General features: G+C 43.0%; 1 protein-coding gene across 10 annotated transcripts in view; it reads right to left on the reverse strand.

Annotated features, from left to right (window-relative positions):
• Positions 1-1,156: 1,156 nt before the first annotated feature.
• NUP98 (nucleoporin 98 and 96 precursor) overlaps positions 1,157-13,100 on the reverse strand; it is a 122,545-nt gene continuing 110,601 nt past the window's right edge. For 7 of the 10 annotated variants that reach the window (NR_157590.2, NM_001365128.2, NM_001365127.2 and 4 more), the window contains 5 exons: positions 12,120-12,341; positions 9,347-9,588; positions 5,701-5,855; positions 2,656-2,767; positions 1,166-2,523 (listed from right to left, as the gene is read on the reverse strand). Coding sequence is in view for 7 of the 10 variants with exons in the window: in NM_001365128.2 (NP_001352057.1) it covers positions 2,306-2,523; positions 2,656-2,767; positions 5,701-5,855; positions 9,347-9,588; positions 12,120-12,341 (949 nt within the window). In the remaining 3 variants the exon portion in view is untranslated. Of the gene's footprint in view, positions 2,524-2,655; positions 2,768-5,700; positions 5,856-9,346; positions 9,589-12,119; positions 12,342-13,100 lie in introns of all 10 variants that reach the window. The other 3 variants (NR_157591.1, NR_157589.2, NM_139132.4) reach the window with 3 other exon arrangements.

Consider the following 13,100-nt stretch of genomic DNA (forward strand, 5'->3'; position numbering starts at 1 on the left):
AAGAAGAGATTGTTCATCACCCTTATCTTGAACTGGAAGTTGATATTCTCTTTTATGCACAACATGGCTTCTATGATAAACCTTTGATTGAGAACCTTTTTTTTCTTGCTCTGTTGCCCAGGCTGGAGTGCAGTGGCACAATCATGGCTCGCTGCAGCCTTCAGCTCCTAGGCTCAAGCGATCCTCTTGCTTAGGCCTCTTGAGTAGCTGGGACTATGCACACACACCACCATGCCCAACTAATTTTATTTTTTTTTAGAGACAGAGTCTTGTCATGTAGCCTGGGGTGGTCTTGAACTCCTGGCCTCAAACGATCCTCCCACCTTGGTCTCCCAAAGTGCTGGGATTACAGGTGTGAGCCACCACTCCTGGCCCACAATTCCGAACACTGCTAAGAGCTAACCATTTCTATAGCATACTCACTTTCTGAAACATTCCTCTGGTAAGGAAACCAGGTCAGGTGTTCTTTGCTGGAAGTCCAACTATGTTTTGTGACTCACTCAGGTTCACATAGTGAGTCAGTAGTGGAGGGGATTCCAGCTGAGTAACCCCTATCCTGAGGCATCTAAGTTAAATGGAAGTTCCAGACAACAGAGCTGACCCACTCTGCTTTCTCATCCCTGAATTCCTGAAAGTCTCAGAAGTCTTTGGTCTAATCTTAATTGGAATTTGCTCACATCTTCAGCTTGACAGATCAAAATAAGATCTGGAATAGTACTCATGCTACTCAATTGATTCCTCTTGAAAATAGCCCTGTGTGAAGTAACATCAGCAATCATTATCCCCTTTACAAAAGGGAATCTGATTTAGAAAGGTGAAGCGTCACTCAGGGTTTAAAAACAAAACCACTATAGTAGAAGAGCGAGGAGGCTTTGAATGGTATATTCTATTGGGCAATTTGAGACCCGGGAATCTATGTGCATAAATATATGTACAGCAATCAGTATTAATCAATAATCAACTCCCTTGCCCCTAAATTTCCCCTTATAAATCTAGCCTTTGGGCTAATCTATCTTTCAGTTTAGCACCCAATTGTTCTCTTTAGCCCATGGCCTGTCTCCATTTAGAAGGCAAATTCAAAAACAGGCTAAATCAAACAAGGCCACCATAAAGATCCTCAGGGTAAGAAGGCTCAAAAATACAAAGGGAAAGCCAATACCAGGAATGCTATAAACATTTTATTTATTTTTTAAGAAAGTAGCTTCAGAAAAAGAGGAAAATATCTAGATCATTTATTTATACATATATATATTTTTTAATAAAAACCTTTACATTATCTTCATGCATAAAGACCCAGGTGTGGCCATATTGCCTGAGATAGCCCTAACACCAGCTATCTCATGCCATTACCTGGGGCTCCCTATAGCTGTCAGCAGTGTAGCAAAGGCCCTCTGCCTGCCCCTAACGCCCAACTCCATGCCTGCCTCAGTCATGGTTTGTTTTTGCTTCTGGAAGGGGTAGATGGAGGGTGGGAAATGCTTTGGAGCTAACATGGGATGAACAGGGAGGGTTACCCAACCTGCCATTTTTTATCCAAACTCTGCAGGCAAATCCAGACAGAGTCTCAGCAAGACTGAAAACCAGGGACCAAACCAAACTCTGGGAGCTTCCCACAGACATGTCACATGTGACCAAGGGTTCCTGCACATAGTAGTAGCAAAGGTATGGTGTTCATGGAACTCTAAAGGCAGGAACAAAAACAGCCCTGAAGATCAATCCCTCCGTGACAGGCATTCACTTCTGCCCTAAGTGTGTCAGAAAGATCCCATTTTGTTTCCTAACTCAGGCCAACCCTCCTTTGCCTCCAAAATTCAGTGTTAACTAACCAATTACTTAAGAGACGGATCCCTCTTCCTTCTGTGGATAGTTCATCTGTTAAGGATCCATTATCACCTGTCTCACTCCTCCTAAGGAGTCCTAGTATAAAAGGGCCAGGGTAGGAGTAGGGAAGCTGGTTGGCATGGAGGGTCACAAGATCCAGAATGGCTAGGGATGGAAAAAGAATACCCTGGTTCTTTGGGGGATTCTGCCAAAGGAGCTTTATTGACCATTTTTTTAAAGGAAAAACACTGAATGATCTTGAGGATGGTAAACTGTCTCCTCTTCTGGGTTCCAGAAGCCCTTATGCTACGTTCAGTATTAAGAAAAGCCCTGAACAAGTGGAGGATGCTGCTTCTGGCAGCAGGGAGGGAGGGTAGATGCCACAGCCAACCCAGAGAATGGCAAACAGTGCCAATCCAAACAAGGCAGGGAACCTCTGTGTGGTGTGAATGGGCATGTGACTGTGATGCAAAGTGCCTGGGGCTCACAGGCTCCCAACAGCCAGTTCTCGCAGATAGGACTGGGTAAGGCTGCGCAGTTCGTCCATGGCATAGTCCTCAGGCATGGGAAGCCGGCCAATGTGGGGAGCCAAGAGGCGCAAAGGGACTCGCTGAGGGTCTGGTGTTGAGTCGGAGGTTCTATCAGGAGGATGATGCAGACTCAGCACCACGCGCAGCAGGTTGGCTACACGTTTGGCCATGTCTAGAGAGAAAAACTAGAGTCAAGCACTGAGCATGGGGTCTGGAGAAGGGTGGTAGGCACTGAGGGTGGGGTGTAATAATCATAAAAACAGGAAGCAAGAAGGCAGAAAGAGTGAGGAGGTTAGAGGCTTACCTGACTGAGCCAGGCGATCTTTAGCACTGTAACACTGAATCTGCTCTATCCGACTGCACAGTGAAGTCACTTTGATGTGTAACTGCTCCAGGTCATTACCTGAGCAATCCACCTACAAAGAAGCAGAGAAGCCAATTAATCCAAGGGGAGTTCCTATCACTCCAATCCCACCTATAGACTCTACACAAAACCTTGAAACAACAGTGAGGTGAGGGAGGGGAAAATCCAAGATGATGACACAGGGCCAAGCCACCACCATCTAGTGGAGGACAAGGCACTAATTATGCAGTAATAGCCAAGAGGAAGGTAACACAGTTACCTAGCCTTGGACTAGGAAAAGTCTTGAGATCCCGAACTATACAGCAAGCTTTAATAACACAGCACCAAAAATCAAGATAAATTGGGTTCAGAGAGATGGTATGACTTCTAAAGAGCACACAAGGAAGTAAAAAATGCAGCCAGAACCAACATTTAATTTAGGTCCCCTGACTCCAAGTTTATAGCCTTTTCTAAAACACCAAAAAAGCTGTGTGCAGGGGGCAGGAGGATCAAGAGCAAGACAGGTTATTTGCTCTCATGAAACTGATAGAAAATAAATAAGAAAACACAAAACAGTAATAAATCCTGAAAAATCACAAGCCATGTAGATAATTTAAACAGGTGGATGTGGCAGAGAGAAACTGGATAGCTACTTGAGACTGGAGGACCAAGAGAGGCTTCTTTAAGGAGGTCATATTTAAATTGAGACCTGAATAACAAGGAGAGAGCTCAGCTTTCCAGGCAAAGAGAAGACAGCTAAAACCCCCAAAGGTGGGAATTCAAAGGAGATTTACATGGTGACATGTAGGGTAAGGAGAAGAAGCAGAACAAGATAATACTAGAGAGTTTTTATGTAACATAGGTTTTTTTTTTTTTTTTTTGGGAGAAGGGGGGTCTCGTTATGTTGCTCAGGCTGGTCTCAAGCAATCCTCCTGCCTCAGCCTCCCAAAGTACTAGGATTACAGTCATGCACCACCACATCCAGCTATGTGCTGGCACATTGATAGTACCCTTTGCTTAATCCCTATACTTATCAAGCTATAGTAATTGCTGCTTTACTTGTATGTATCTCCCCCACAAAATCATTATTTTGGTAAGGGCAGAACACATACTGTTTACCTTTATATTCCCCAAACCCACTACAGTGCTTGGCATACAGTGAGTTCTCCATAATAGGTTGTGTGAATGAATTACTCAATATTCAATGAGAAAGTGGTTTCTTCAAGTGATTATTTAGAAATGATGTTCTTGATTCATACTAAAAGTACAGCAAACATTGAATTATGTCTATTATGTGCCAGGCACTGTACTAGGAGTTGGAACTTTGATGAGGATAATAATAGATAACAATTATTAAGCATTTAGTAGAGGCCGAGGTCAGGAGTTTGAGACCAGCCTGGCCAACATGGTGAAACCCCGTCTCTACTAAAATACACACACACACACACAAAGCTGGGTGTGGTGGCACACGCCTGTAATCCCAGCTACTGGGGAGGCTGAGGCAGGAGAATTGTTTGAAGCTGGGAGATGCAGTGAGCTGAGATTGTGCCACTGCCCTCCAGCCTGGGTGACAGAGTAAAACTCTGCCTAAAAAAAAAAAAAAAAAGGCATTTAGTACATGAAAGGTACTATGTAAAACACTTCATGTAGATTTTGTTTAATCTTTGTGAAAATCTGTCAATATGAACTATAATCTGTACTACTGTCTACCCCACCCACCTTTTTCTTTCAGACGAGAGAGGTAGTTAACTTGCTCAAGATTACATAGCCAGTGAATTTGGAAGCCACAAATTGAATCTATAAGTCTGCTTCCAGAACTTGAGCTGTTAACCTCTACACTCTATTGCCTGTAACCGTAAAAGACCTTCCCAAAAGGGGCTTATAGCAACCTGAAAATATGAATAAGTAACTACAATATGGTCTGACAGGTGCACTAGTAGAATAATGTACTAAGTATCTTGGTAGTAAGAAAGTGCAATTAATTATCTCTGGGGAAAAGCAGAGAGAAGTAGGGGTAACAGCAACCTAGATCTTAAAAGGATGAGTTTAAGTGTGCTAGGTAGTGTGGAACATAATATGGTTTGTTAGAAACACCAGAAGTAATTTAGTGTGAGTACAGCAGGCTAGCAAGGCTGGAACGTGGAATAAGAGTGGTAGGAGTAAGGCAGGAAAGGTAAAAGCCTCTAAAAGGACTTGAATCCTATATTTATTATAATGAGTTTGGTTTTTGCACCATAAGCAAGCAGTGGAGACTCATTTTACGACTACAAAGACTGACCTTAAGGCTGCGTGCAGGCGTGCGGTAAGCTCATGCCTGTAATCCCAGCAATTTGGGAGGCCAAGGTGGGCCGATCACTTGAGGCCAGGAATTCAAGACCAGCCTGGCCAATGTGGTGAAACACTATCTCTACTAAAAATACAAAAGTTAGCTGCGTGTGGTGGCACACACCCTATACTCCCAGCTACTTGGGAGGCTGGGGCATGAGACTCACTTAAGACTGGGAGGCAGAGGTTGCAGTGAGCCACGATCACACCACTGCACTCCAGCCTGGATGACAGAGCAAGACTCTGTTCCAAAAAAAAAAAAAAAAAAAAAACTGACCGAAGACATTGACTTTAAAACCCATATTTGCAATTTTAAAACATGCCAAATGATGTGTAAAACAGCTATCCTCACCCTCACCAAATCTCCATTCTTATTTTATCTCTCATCTTTGGGCTTCTCACTCAAACTAGGACTGAACAAGGGGAAGAGACTGTCTATGGACAAGCCTCAGGAATGTCTATTGCACATACTAGTTGGTAATCAACATAAAATAGCATTTTTAAGTTTCGATATAGCTGTCAGAAACGGTTATATCAAATGAGCCTCAGCAAGATGCCTGCTTTGACAGTGCTATCTCTGTCAGTGCATTCTCAAGTGTATACTAAGGCCTTGTGAGGTATCTGAAGATTTAAGGGCCTGAGAAAAGGAAAATCAGGCAGCAGTTTCAGGATCTCAGGTACCTGCTGTATATGGCGGAGCATTTCAATGACTCTAATATAGTCCAGGTAAACAAGCCCAGATGTTTCCCAATCCTGAATTAGGCTGCTGCGCTCTGGAGGTGCCAGGTCTTCCAAGAACCCCTTCAGGTAGTCATAGTTCTCATTAATGATGGCATCTGAAGAAACAAAGTATTGAGCACAATGTCTGCACAAGTGCATAGTTTCCAAAAGTACAGAAGACATGGCAGGAAGACAGAAAGGAAGGAGAAATAATGTTGGCTGGACTTCAGAAGTAAAAGCACATACAGGCATACCTCAAAGATACTGTGGGTTTCATTTCAGACCACCACAATAAAGCAGGTATCACAATAAAATCACAAATTTTTTGGTTTTCCAGTGGATATAAAAGTTATGTTTACACTATACCACTGTCACTTATTAAGTGTGCAACAGCATTATGTCTAAAAAACCAATATACATACCTTAATTTAAAAATATTTTATTGCTAAAAATGTTAATCACTTGAGCCTTCAGCAAGTCATCTTTCTGGTGGTGGAGGGTCTTTCCTTGATGCTGATGGCTGCTGACTGATCAGGGTGTTGCCTGCTGAAGGTTGTGATGGCTATGCTAATTTCTTAAAATAAGATAACTGAAGTCAGTTCTCTCAAACCCAGCTGCTGCTTTATCAACTAAGCTTAAGTAATATTCCATATCCTTTGCTGGCATTTCAACAATGTTCACAGCATCTTCACCAGGAGTAGATTCCATCTCAAGAAACTGCTTTCTTTGCTTGTCTATAAAGCAAACTCCTCATGAGTGACACCAGTTCAGTCACATCTTCAGGCTCCATTTCTAATTCTAGTTATCTTGCTGTTTCCATCACATCTGCAAGTACTTCCCCCACTAAAGTCTTGAACCCTTCAAACTCATCCATGAGGGCTGGATTCAATGCCTTCCATACTCCTGTTATTTAATGTTGATATTTTGACCTCCTTCCATGAATCACAAATGTTTTTTGTGTATTTTTTTGTTGGGGTCTCACTCTCTCACTCAGGCTGGAGCACAGTGGCACGATCTTGGCTCACTGCAACCTCTGCCTCGCAGGCTCAAGTGATCCTCCCTCCAACCTCAGCCTCCCGAATAGCTGCGACCACAGGTGTGTGCCACCAGGCCCGACTAATTTTTTTGTACTTTTGGTACAGATGGGGTTTCACCATGTTGCCCAACCTAATCTCGAACTACTGAGCTCAAGAGATCCACTCATCTTGGCCCCCCAAAGTGCTGGGATTACAGGTGTAAGCCACCATGCCCGGACCCAAATGTTCTTTTTTGTTTTTCTTTTCTTTAAGACAGGATCTCCCTCTGTCACCCAGGCTGGAGTGCAGTGGTGTGATCATGGCTCACTGCAGCCTCAACCTCCTGGGCTCATGCAGTACTCCTGCCTCAGCCTCCTGAGTAGCTGAAATTACAGGAACATAACACCATGCCTGGCCAATCACAAATGTTCCTCTCCCACCATCCGCCCCAGACAGGGTCTCACGGTGTTGCCCAGGAAGGAGTTCACTGGCATGGTCGTGGCTCACTACAGCCTCAACCTCCCTAGGCTCAGGTGATCCGCCAATCTCAGCCTCCCAAATAGCTGGGAATATAGGCACGCACCACCATGCTCAGCTAATTTTTGTATTTTTTGTAGAGATTGGGTTTCACCATGTTGCCCAGGCTGGTCTCGAACTCCTGGGGCTCAAGCAATCTGCCGCTTTGGCCTCCCAAAGTACTGGGATTACAGGTACGAGCCACCGTGCCTGGCCTACAAATACATCTACAATGGTGAATCCTTTCCAGAAGGTTTTCATTTACTTTCCCAGATCCATCAGAGGAATCGCTATCTATATGGCAGCTATAGTCTTATGAAATGTATTTCTTAAATAATAAGGCTTGAAAGCTGAATTACTCCTTTGCCCATGGGTTGCAGAGTAGATGTGTTAGCAGGCATAAAAACATTAACCTCCTTATACGTCTTCATCAGAACTCTTGGCTGACTAGGTGCATCATCAATGAGCAGTAATATTTTGAAAGAAATTTTTTTTTTTTCTGAGCAGGTTTCAACAGTGGGCTTAAAGTATTCAGTAAACTGAGCTATAAACAGATATGCTGTCATCCAGGCTTTGTTTTTCCGTTTACAGAGCACAGGCAGAGTAGATTCAGCATAATTCTTAAGGGCCCTAGGATTTTTAGAATGGTAAATGAGCTTCTGCTTACCATCACCAGCTGAATTAGCCCTAAAGGGAGAGTTAACTTGTCCTTTGCAGCTTTGAAGCCAGGCATTGACTTCTCTTCTCTAGCTATGAAAGTCCTTGGTGGCATCTTCTTTCAATAGAAGGCAGTTTCATCTACACTGAAAATCTGTTGTTTAGTGTAACCATCTTCATCAATGATCTTAGCTAGATCTTCTGGGTAACTTGCTGTACCTTCTCCATCAGCACTTCCTGCTTCACCTTGCACTTTAATGGAATGGAAAGACAGCTTCTTTCCTTAAACTTCATGAAGCAACTTCTGCTAGCTTCAAACGTTTCTTCTGTAGCTTCCTCACCTCTCTCAGCCTTCACAGAACTGAAGGGAGGTTAGGCTTTTGCTTAAGGGAATGTTGTGGCTGGTTTCATCTATCCAGATCACAAAAACTTTCTCCGCATCAGCCAGAAAGCTGTTTCACTTTCATATCATTTATATGTTCACTGGAGTAGCACTTTAAATTTCCTTCAAGAACTTTCCTTTAACACAACTTGGCTGTTTGGCAAAGAGGCTTATCTTTTGTCCTATCTTGGCTTTCAACATGCTTCTCTCTGTACACCTAATCACTTCAAGCTTTTGTTTAAAGTTAGAGTTGTGCTACCCTTCCTTTCACTTGAACATATTTAGAGGCCATTGTAGGGTTATTAACTGGCCTAATTTCGTGATTATTGGGTCTTAGGAAATAGGAAGGCCCAAAGAGAGGGAAAGAGATGGGGATGACCAGTTGATGGAGCAGCCAGAATATGCACATTTATCAACTGACCATCTTATATGGATGCAGTTGGTGGCACCCCAAAACAAAACAGCAACATCAAAGATTGCTACTCACAGATCACCATAACAGATATAGTAATGAAAAAGTCTGAAATAATGTGAGAACCACCAAAATGTGAAACAGAGACAGACATGAAGTAAACATATGTTGGAAAAATGGTGCTAATATACTTGCTCTGTGCAGTTTTCCAAACCTTTAATTTGTAAAAAATGTAGTACCTGCAAAGTACAACAAAATGAGGTATGCCTGTATTCTGAAATTCTCCAATGGAAAATGTGAAGAATTTCTAGTTTCAGGCCTTAAGGAGATTATTTCTGGTGTTGCTGGAGAAAATTCCCATAAGTAAACAAATTAAAATAATAATAATATTAGCACACATCAAGAATATTTCTGGGAAATGATAACAATATTGCTATCTACCCCTGCTCCTCTAGCGCCTCATCCTGGCTAAGCCTCTTCTGCAGAGAGCTTTTGCAAAGTATGATTTGATTCAAGATGGCCATGTCCTACGTTGAGTCTTATTTCCAGTCTGACCCCATCATGGAGGTTCAGAGGTTGGAGGAATTTGGGGTGATTCCAGGAGATGTGGAACCCAGCACTCACCAGAAGCTAAGTGTCGGATGATGAGCTTGTGGCAGCGGTTCCAGTGCTCAGCCTTAAATAAGCAAAGGGCCTCTAAGTGCTTGTCAGATTCCATGTGTGCTCGCACAGCTTTGGCCTCGTGGATCCATTTGGCAGGTACACGGAGCTTCTGGGTAAGGAAAGTCTCTTTAGCCCAAGATTCAGGGGTCTCCAACAGCTGGCAGTGCCGGGTAAGCAGCTCTCGAACAGCCTTCTCACGTATGCTACAGGGAGAGATAAGCTAGAATAAATCCCATCCTCATTCATGGAGAAGGCTGCCCCAGGCAGCTTAGAGTGGCCCTTGGGGCAGTCTCTTAAACTGCAGGTCTTTTTTTTTTTTGATGGAGTTTCACTCTTGTTGCCCAGGCTGGAGTGCAATGGTGTCATCTTGGCTCACGGCAAATTCCACCTCCCAGGTTCAAGTGATTCTCCTGCCTCAGCCTCACAAGTAGCTGGGATTACAGGCATGTGCCACCACACCCCGCTAATTTTGTAATTTTAGTAGAGGCAGGGTTTCTCCATGTTGGTTGGGCTGGTCTGGAACTCCCAACCTCAGGTGATCCACCCGCCTCAGCTTCCCAAAGTGCCAGGATTACAGGCGTGAGCCACCACACCTGGCCTAAACTATGGGTCTTGATCACTTTAAGCTTCACTAAAAAAATCAAAGGTGATCTCACACCGGTATTAATTTTTAAAAATGACAGCACTGGCCAGGCACAGTGCCTCACGCCTGTAATCCCAGCACTTTGGGAGGTCAAGGTGGGTGGATCACATGAGGTCAGGAGTTCAAGACCAGCCTGGCCAACATGGTGAAACCCCGTCTCTGCAAAAAATAATTAAAAAAATTAGCTGGGTGTGGTGGCAGGCGTCTGTAATCCCAGCTACTCAAGAAGCTGAGGCAGGAGAATTGCTTGAACCCGGGAGGCAGAAATTGCAGTGAGCCGAGATCACGCCATTGCACTCCAGCCTGGGCGACAAGACCGAAACTCCATCTCAAAAACAAAACAAAACAAAACAAACACATAGCATTAATTTTTAAAAATAAAATAAAGTATTTTCATGTTCAAAAAGTTGGGGCTTGGCTCGGCGCAGTGGCTCACGCCTGTAATCCCAGCACTTTGGCAGGCCGAGGCGGACAGATCACGAGGTCAAGTCATTTACTTTCAGATCAAAACTATTCTCATTATGGACTCTTTTCTGAATTCCTAAGCTTTTCAATGACTTCCACTGTCATCACAACTGCCTCCTTTTTTATATTCTTTTTCAGGAAACAAGATCTGCTTCTCCATAGTCAACTCCGAAACATTAGCCATCCTATCAAGCCAGTCTTTTACCATGTGAAATCCTTTATGACTGTGTTTAAATAAACTTAAAAAAATAGCCTGGGGTCATTTCATTCCCTGTTAAAGGGGAAGAAGAAAGAGAAACTGCTTAAAGAAAGAGAAATTGCTTAAGTCTTAATAAGACTATGCTAGATGCTTTATACTTTTACTCTTTTTAATTTCACAATCACCTTTAAATAGAAACTAATGTTATGCTTTCACAGGCCAAAAAAAAAAAAAAAAAAAAAAAAAAAAAAAAGGCTTAGGCTTAGAGAGTTAAGAGAGTATCTTTATCCAAAGTCAAAAGTAAGCTTTACCCTAGGTCAAAGTGAGTACGTGGTAGATCTAGAATTTAGACCCTATTTCCTTCCATACCATGCAACACAACAGTGCAGCATAATGATAAGAGCACAGACTCTGGACGAAAGTTGGAAACCTCACTCTGCCATTTACTAGCTGTGTGACCTTGGACAAAAGTTAAGCTCTGTGTCTTGGGTTACTGACCTGTAAAACAGAGATAATAACAGTGTCTATCTCACAGGTCATAATGAACATAAAACAGTTAATATATATGGTATACAATATAAACATGTGTAAAAGCACTTCAAGTACTACATAAATGTTCATTTTGTGTAATTACTGAAATACCATACTGCTATCATTAACAAAAATCTCCGGCCTTATCTTGTTCAAACCGCAGTGAAAAGGCATTTCTCCAGTTCTCTTTAAGGACAGAGAATCAAGACACATATACCTAAGCACAAGGCTGTGTTAATAAATACAATACTATCAAGCTTAAGGAATGGGTCGGTGACAAGGGATGACCAGAGAAAAAGCAAGCCAGTGGACACAGAAAAAGCAGGGACCTTTTTGCTAACCCATTACTTCCCTGCCGTGGAGTCACTGAGGCAGCTCAGACAGCACTATTTCTGTGTAATTCCTAAACATGCCACATTCACCTGAATCTGGGATTCAGAAAAGAGCCCACTATGAGGAGAATAGTTCTGATCTGAAATTAAATGACTAGTTTTTTGGCCCAGGCATAATGCTATTGTCCCATCTGGGCATATTCTCTCATTTCCACTTCATTATTTCCTATTCCAATTTTACAGGTTCTTCGACTCTTACCTCTATGAAGAATTTCTCTGATCAATGCAGTTCACAGAGATCTTTTTTTCTCAGACTGCTGAGAGACTTTGTGATAAATATTATAATTTGGCACTTAATCAAAGGAAGTCTCAGTTTTAACTGGTTTACATGAATACAGAAACAGTCTAGGCTAAGGGTTTAACTATCTTGAGGTTTATCACAACGCTGGATCTAACACACATTCTACACAATTACTTGCTAAACTGAACCCTGAAAGACTGATTCCTTTGGAATTGCCCTGTAGTGCTAGATGTACCCAGTGGGTTCAACGGCTTCTCACTCACCCTGAGTTGTCAATGTGCAGGAGGACAAAGATGGCCCACTCCCAGAGCCCCTCACTTTCAAGCTGGCCAGCGTAACTGGCCTGTAGCACACCTTCACACTGCGCTGAGAGATGGGTGTAGTTAAGAGCCCTCAGCACTTCCCACAAGTGCCAGCTTAGGCGGTAGTCCAAAGGATCTGCTGTTATGCTTCGAGGCTCCAGCAGCTGGTTGAGATCATAATGTCTGCAAAGAACGTGTTGAGAGTCAACATACACAGCCAGGAGACGGCCTGGACTGATATGTCAACTGTTCTGCTTATGTCTAAGACAATAAAAGAACCTGAGAGTGAAAGCATTATAGGCCTTCTCTCCCTCTGAGCCTATGTTTTATCAATCTATCTCTGGGTTCAGCCAGACTTTAGATCCTACAAAGAAACAAGGCACCTTCTCTTCTAAGGTTGTGTGATCTAACAGGTTTGCTGGTAATGGTTTGGCGTATGTATTTTACCATCCTGATACAGGGAGTCTTCACAGTTCTCACCCTTCCATTCCTTCATTATAATGTCATTACTTTTTTCTTTTTTTTGAGACAGAGTCTCGCTCTGTTGCCCATTTCTGGTATTTTGAAGTATCCTTTTCTTTCTTTCTCTGACATATTTAAAACTGCACGTATCTAGAGTACACAATTTTAATGAGCTTTAACATATGTAGACACCTGTAAAACCACCATCACGATCAAGAAAATAAATAGAGCAAGGCGCGGTGGCTCACGCCTGTAATCCCAACACATTGGAAGGCTGAGGTGGGCGGATCACTTGAGGTCAGGAGAGTTTGAGACCAGCCTGGCCAAGATGGTGAAACTCTTGCCTCTACTAAAAATACAAAAATTAGCCAGGTGTGGTAGTGCATGCCTGTATTCCCGGCTACTCAGGAGGCTGTGGCACAAGAACTGCTGGAACCCAGGAGGCGGAGGTTGTGGTGAGGTGAGATCATACCACTGCAC

This window comes from Homo sapiens, chromosome 11 (assembly GCF_000001405.40).
Source record: "Homo sapiens chromosome 11, GRCh38.p14 Primary Assembly".
Classification (NCBI taxonomy): domain Eukaryota; kingdom Metazoa; phylum Chordata; class Mammalia; order Primates; family Hominidae; genus Homo; species Homo sapiens.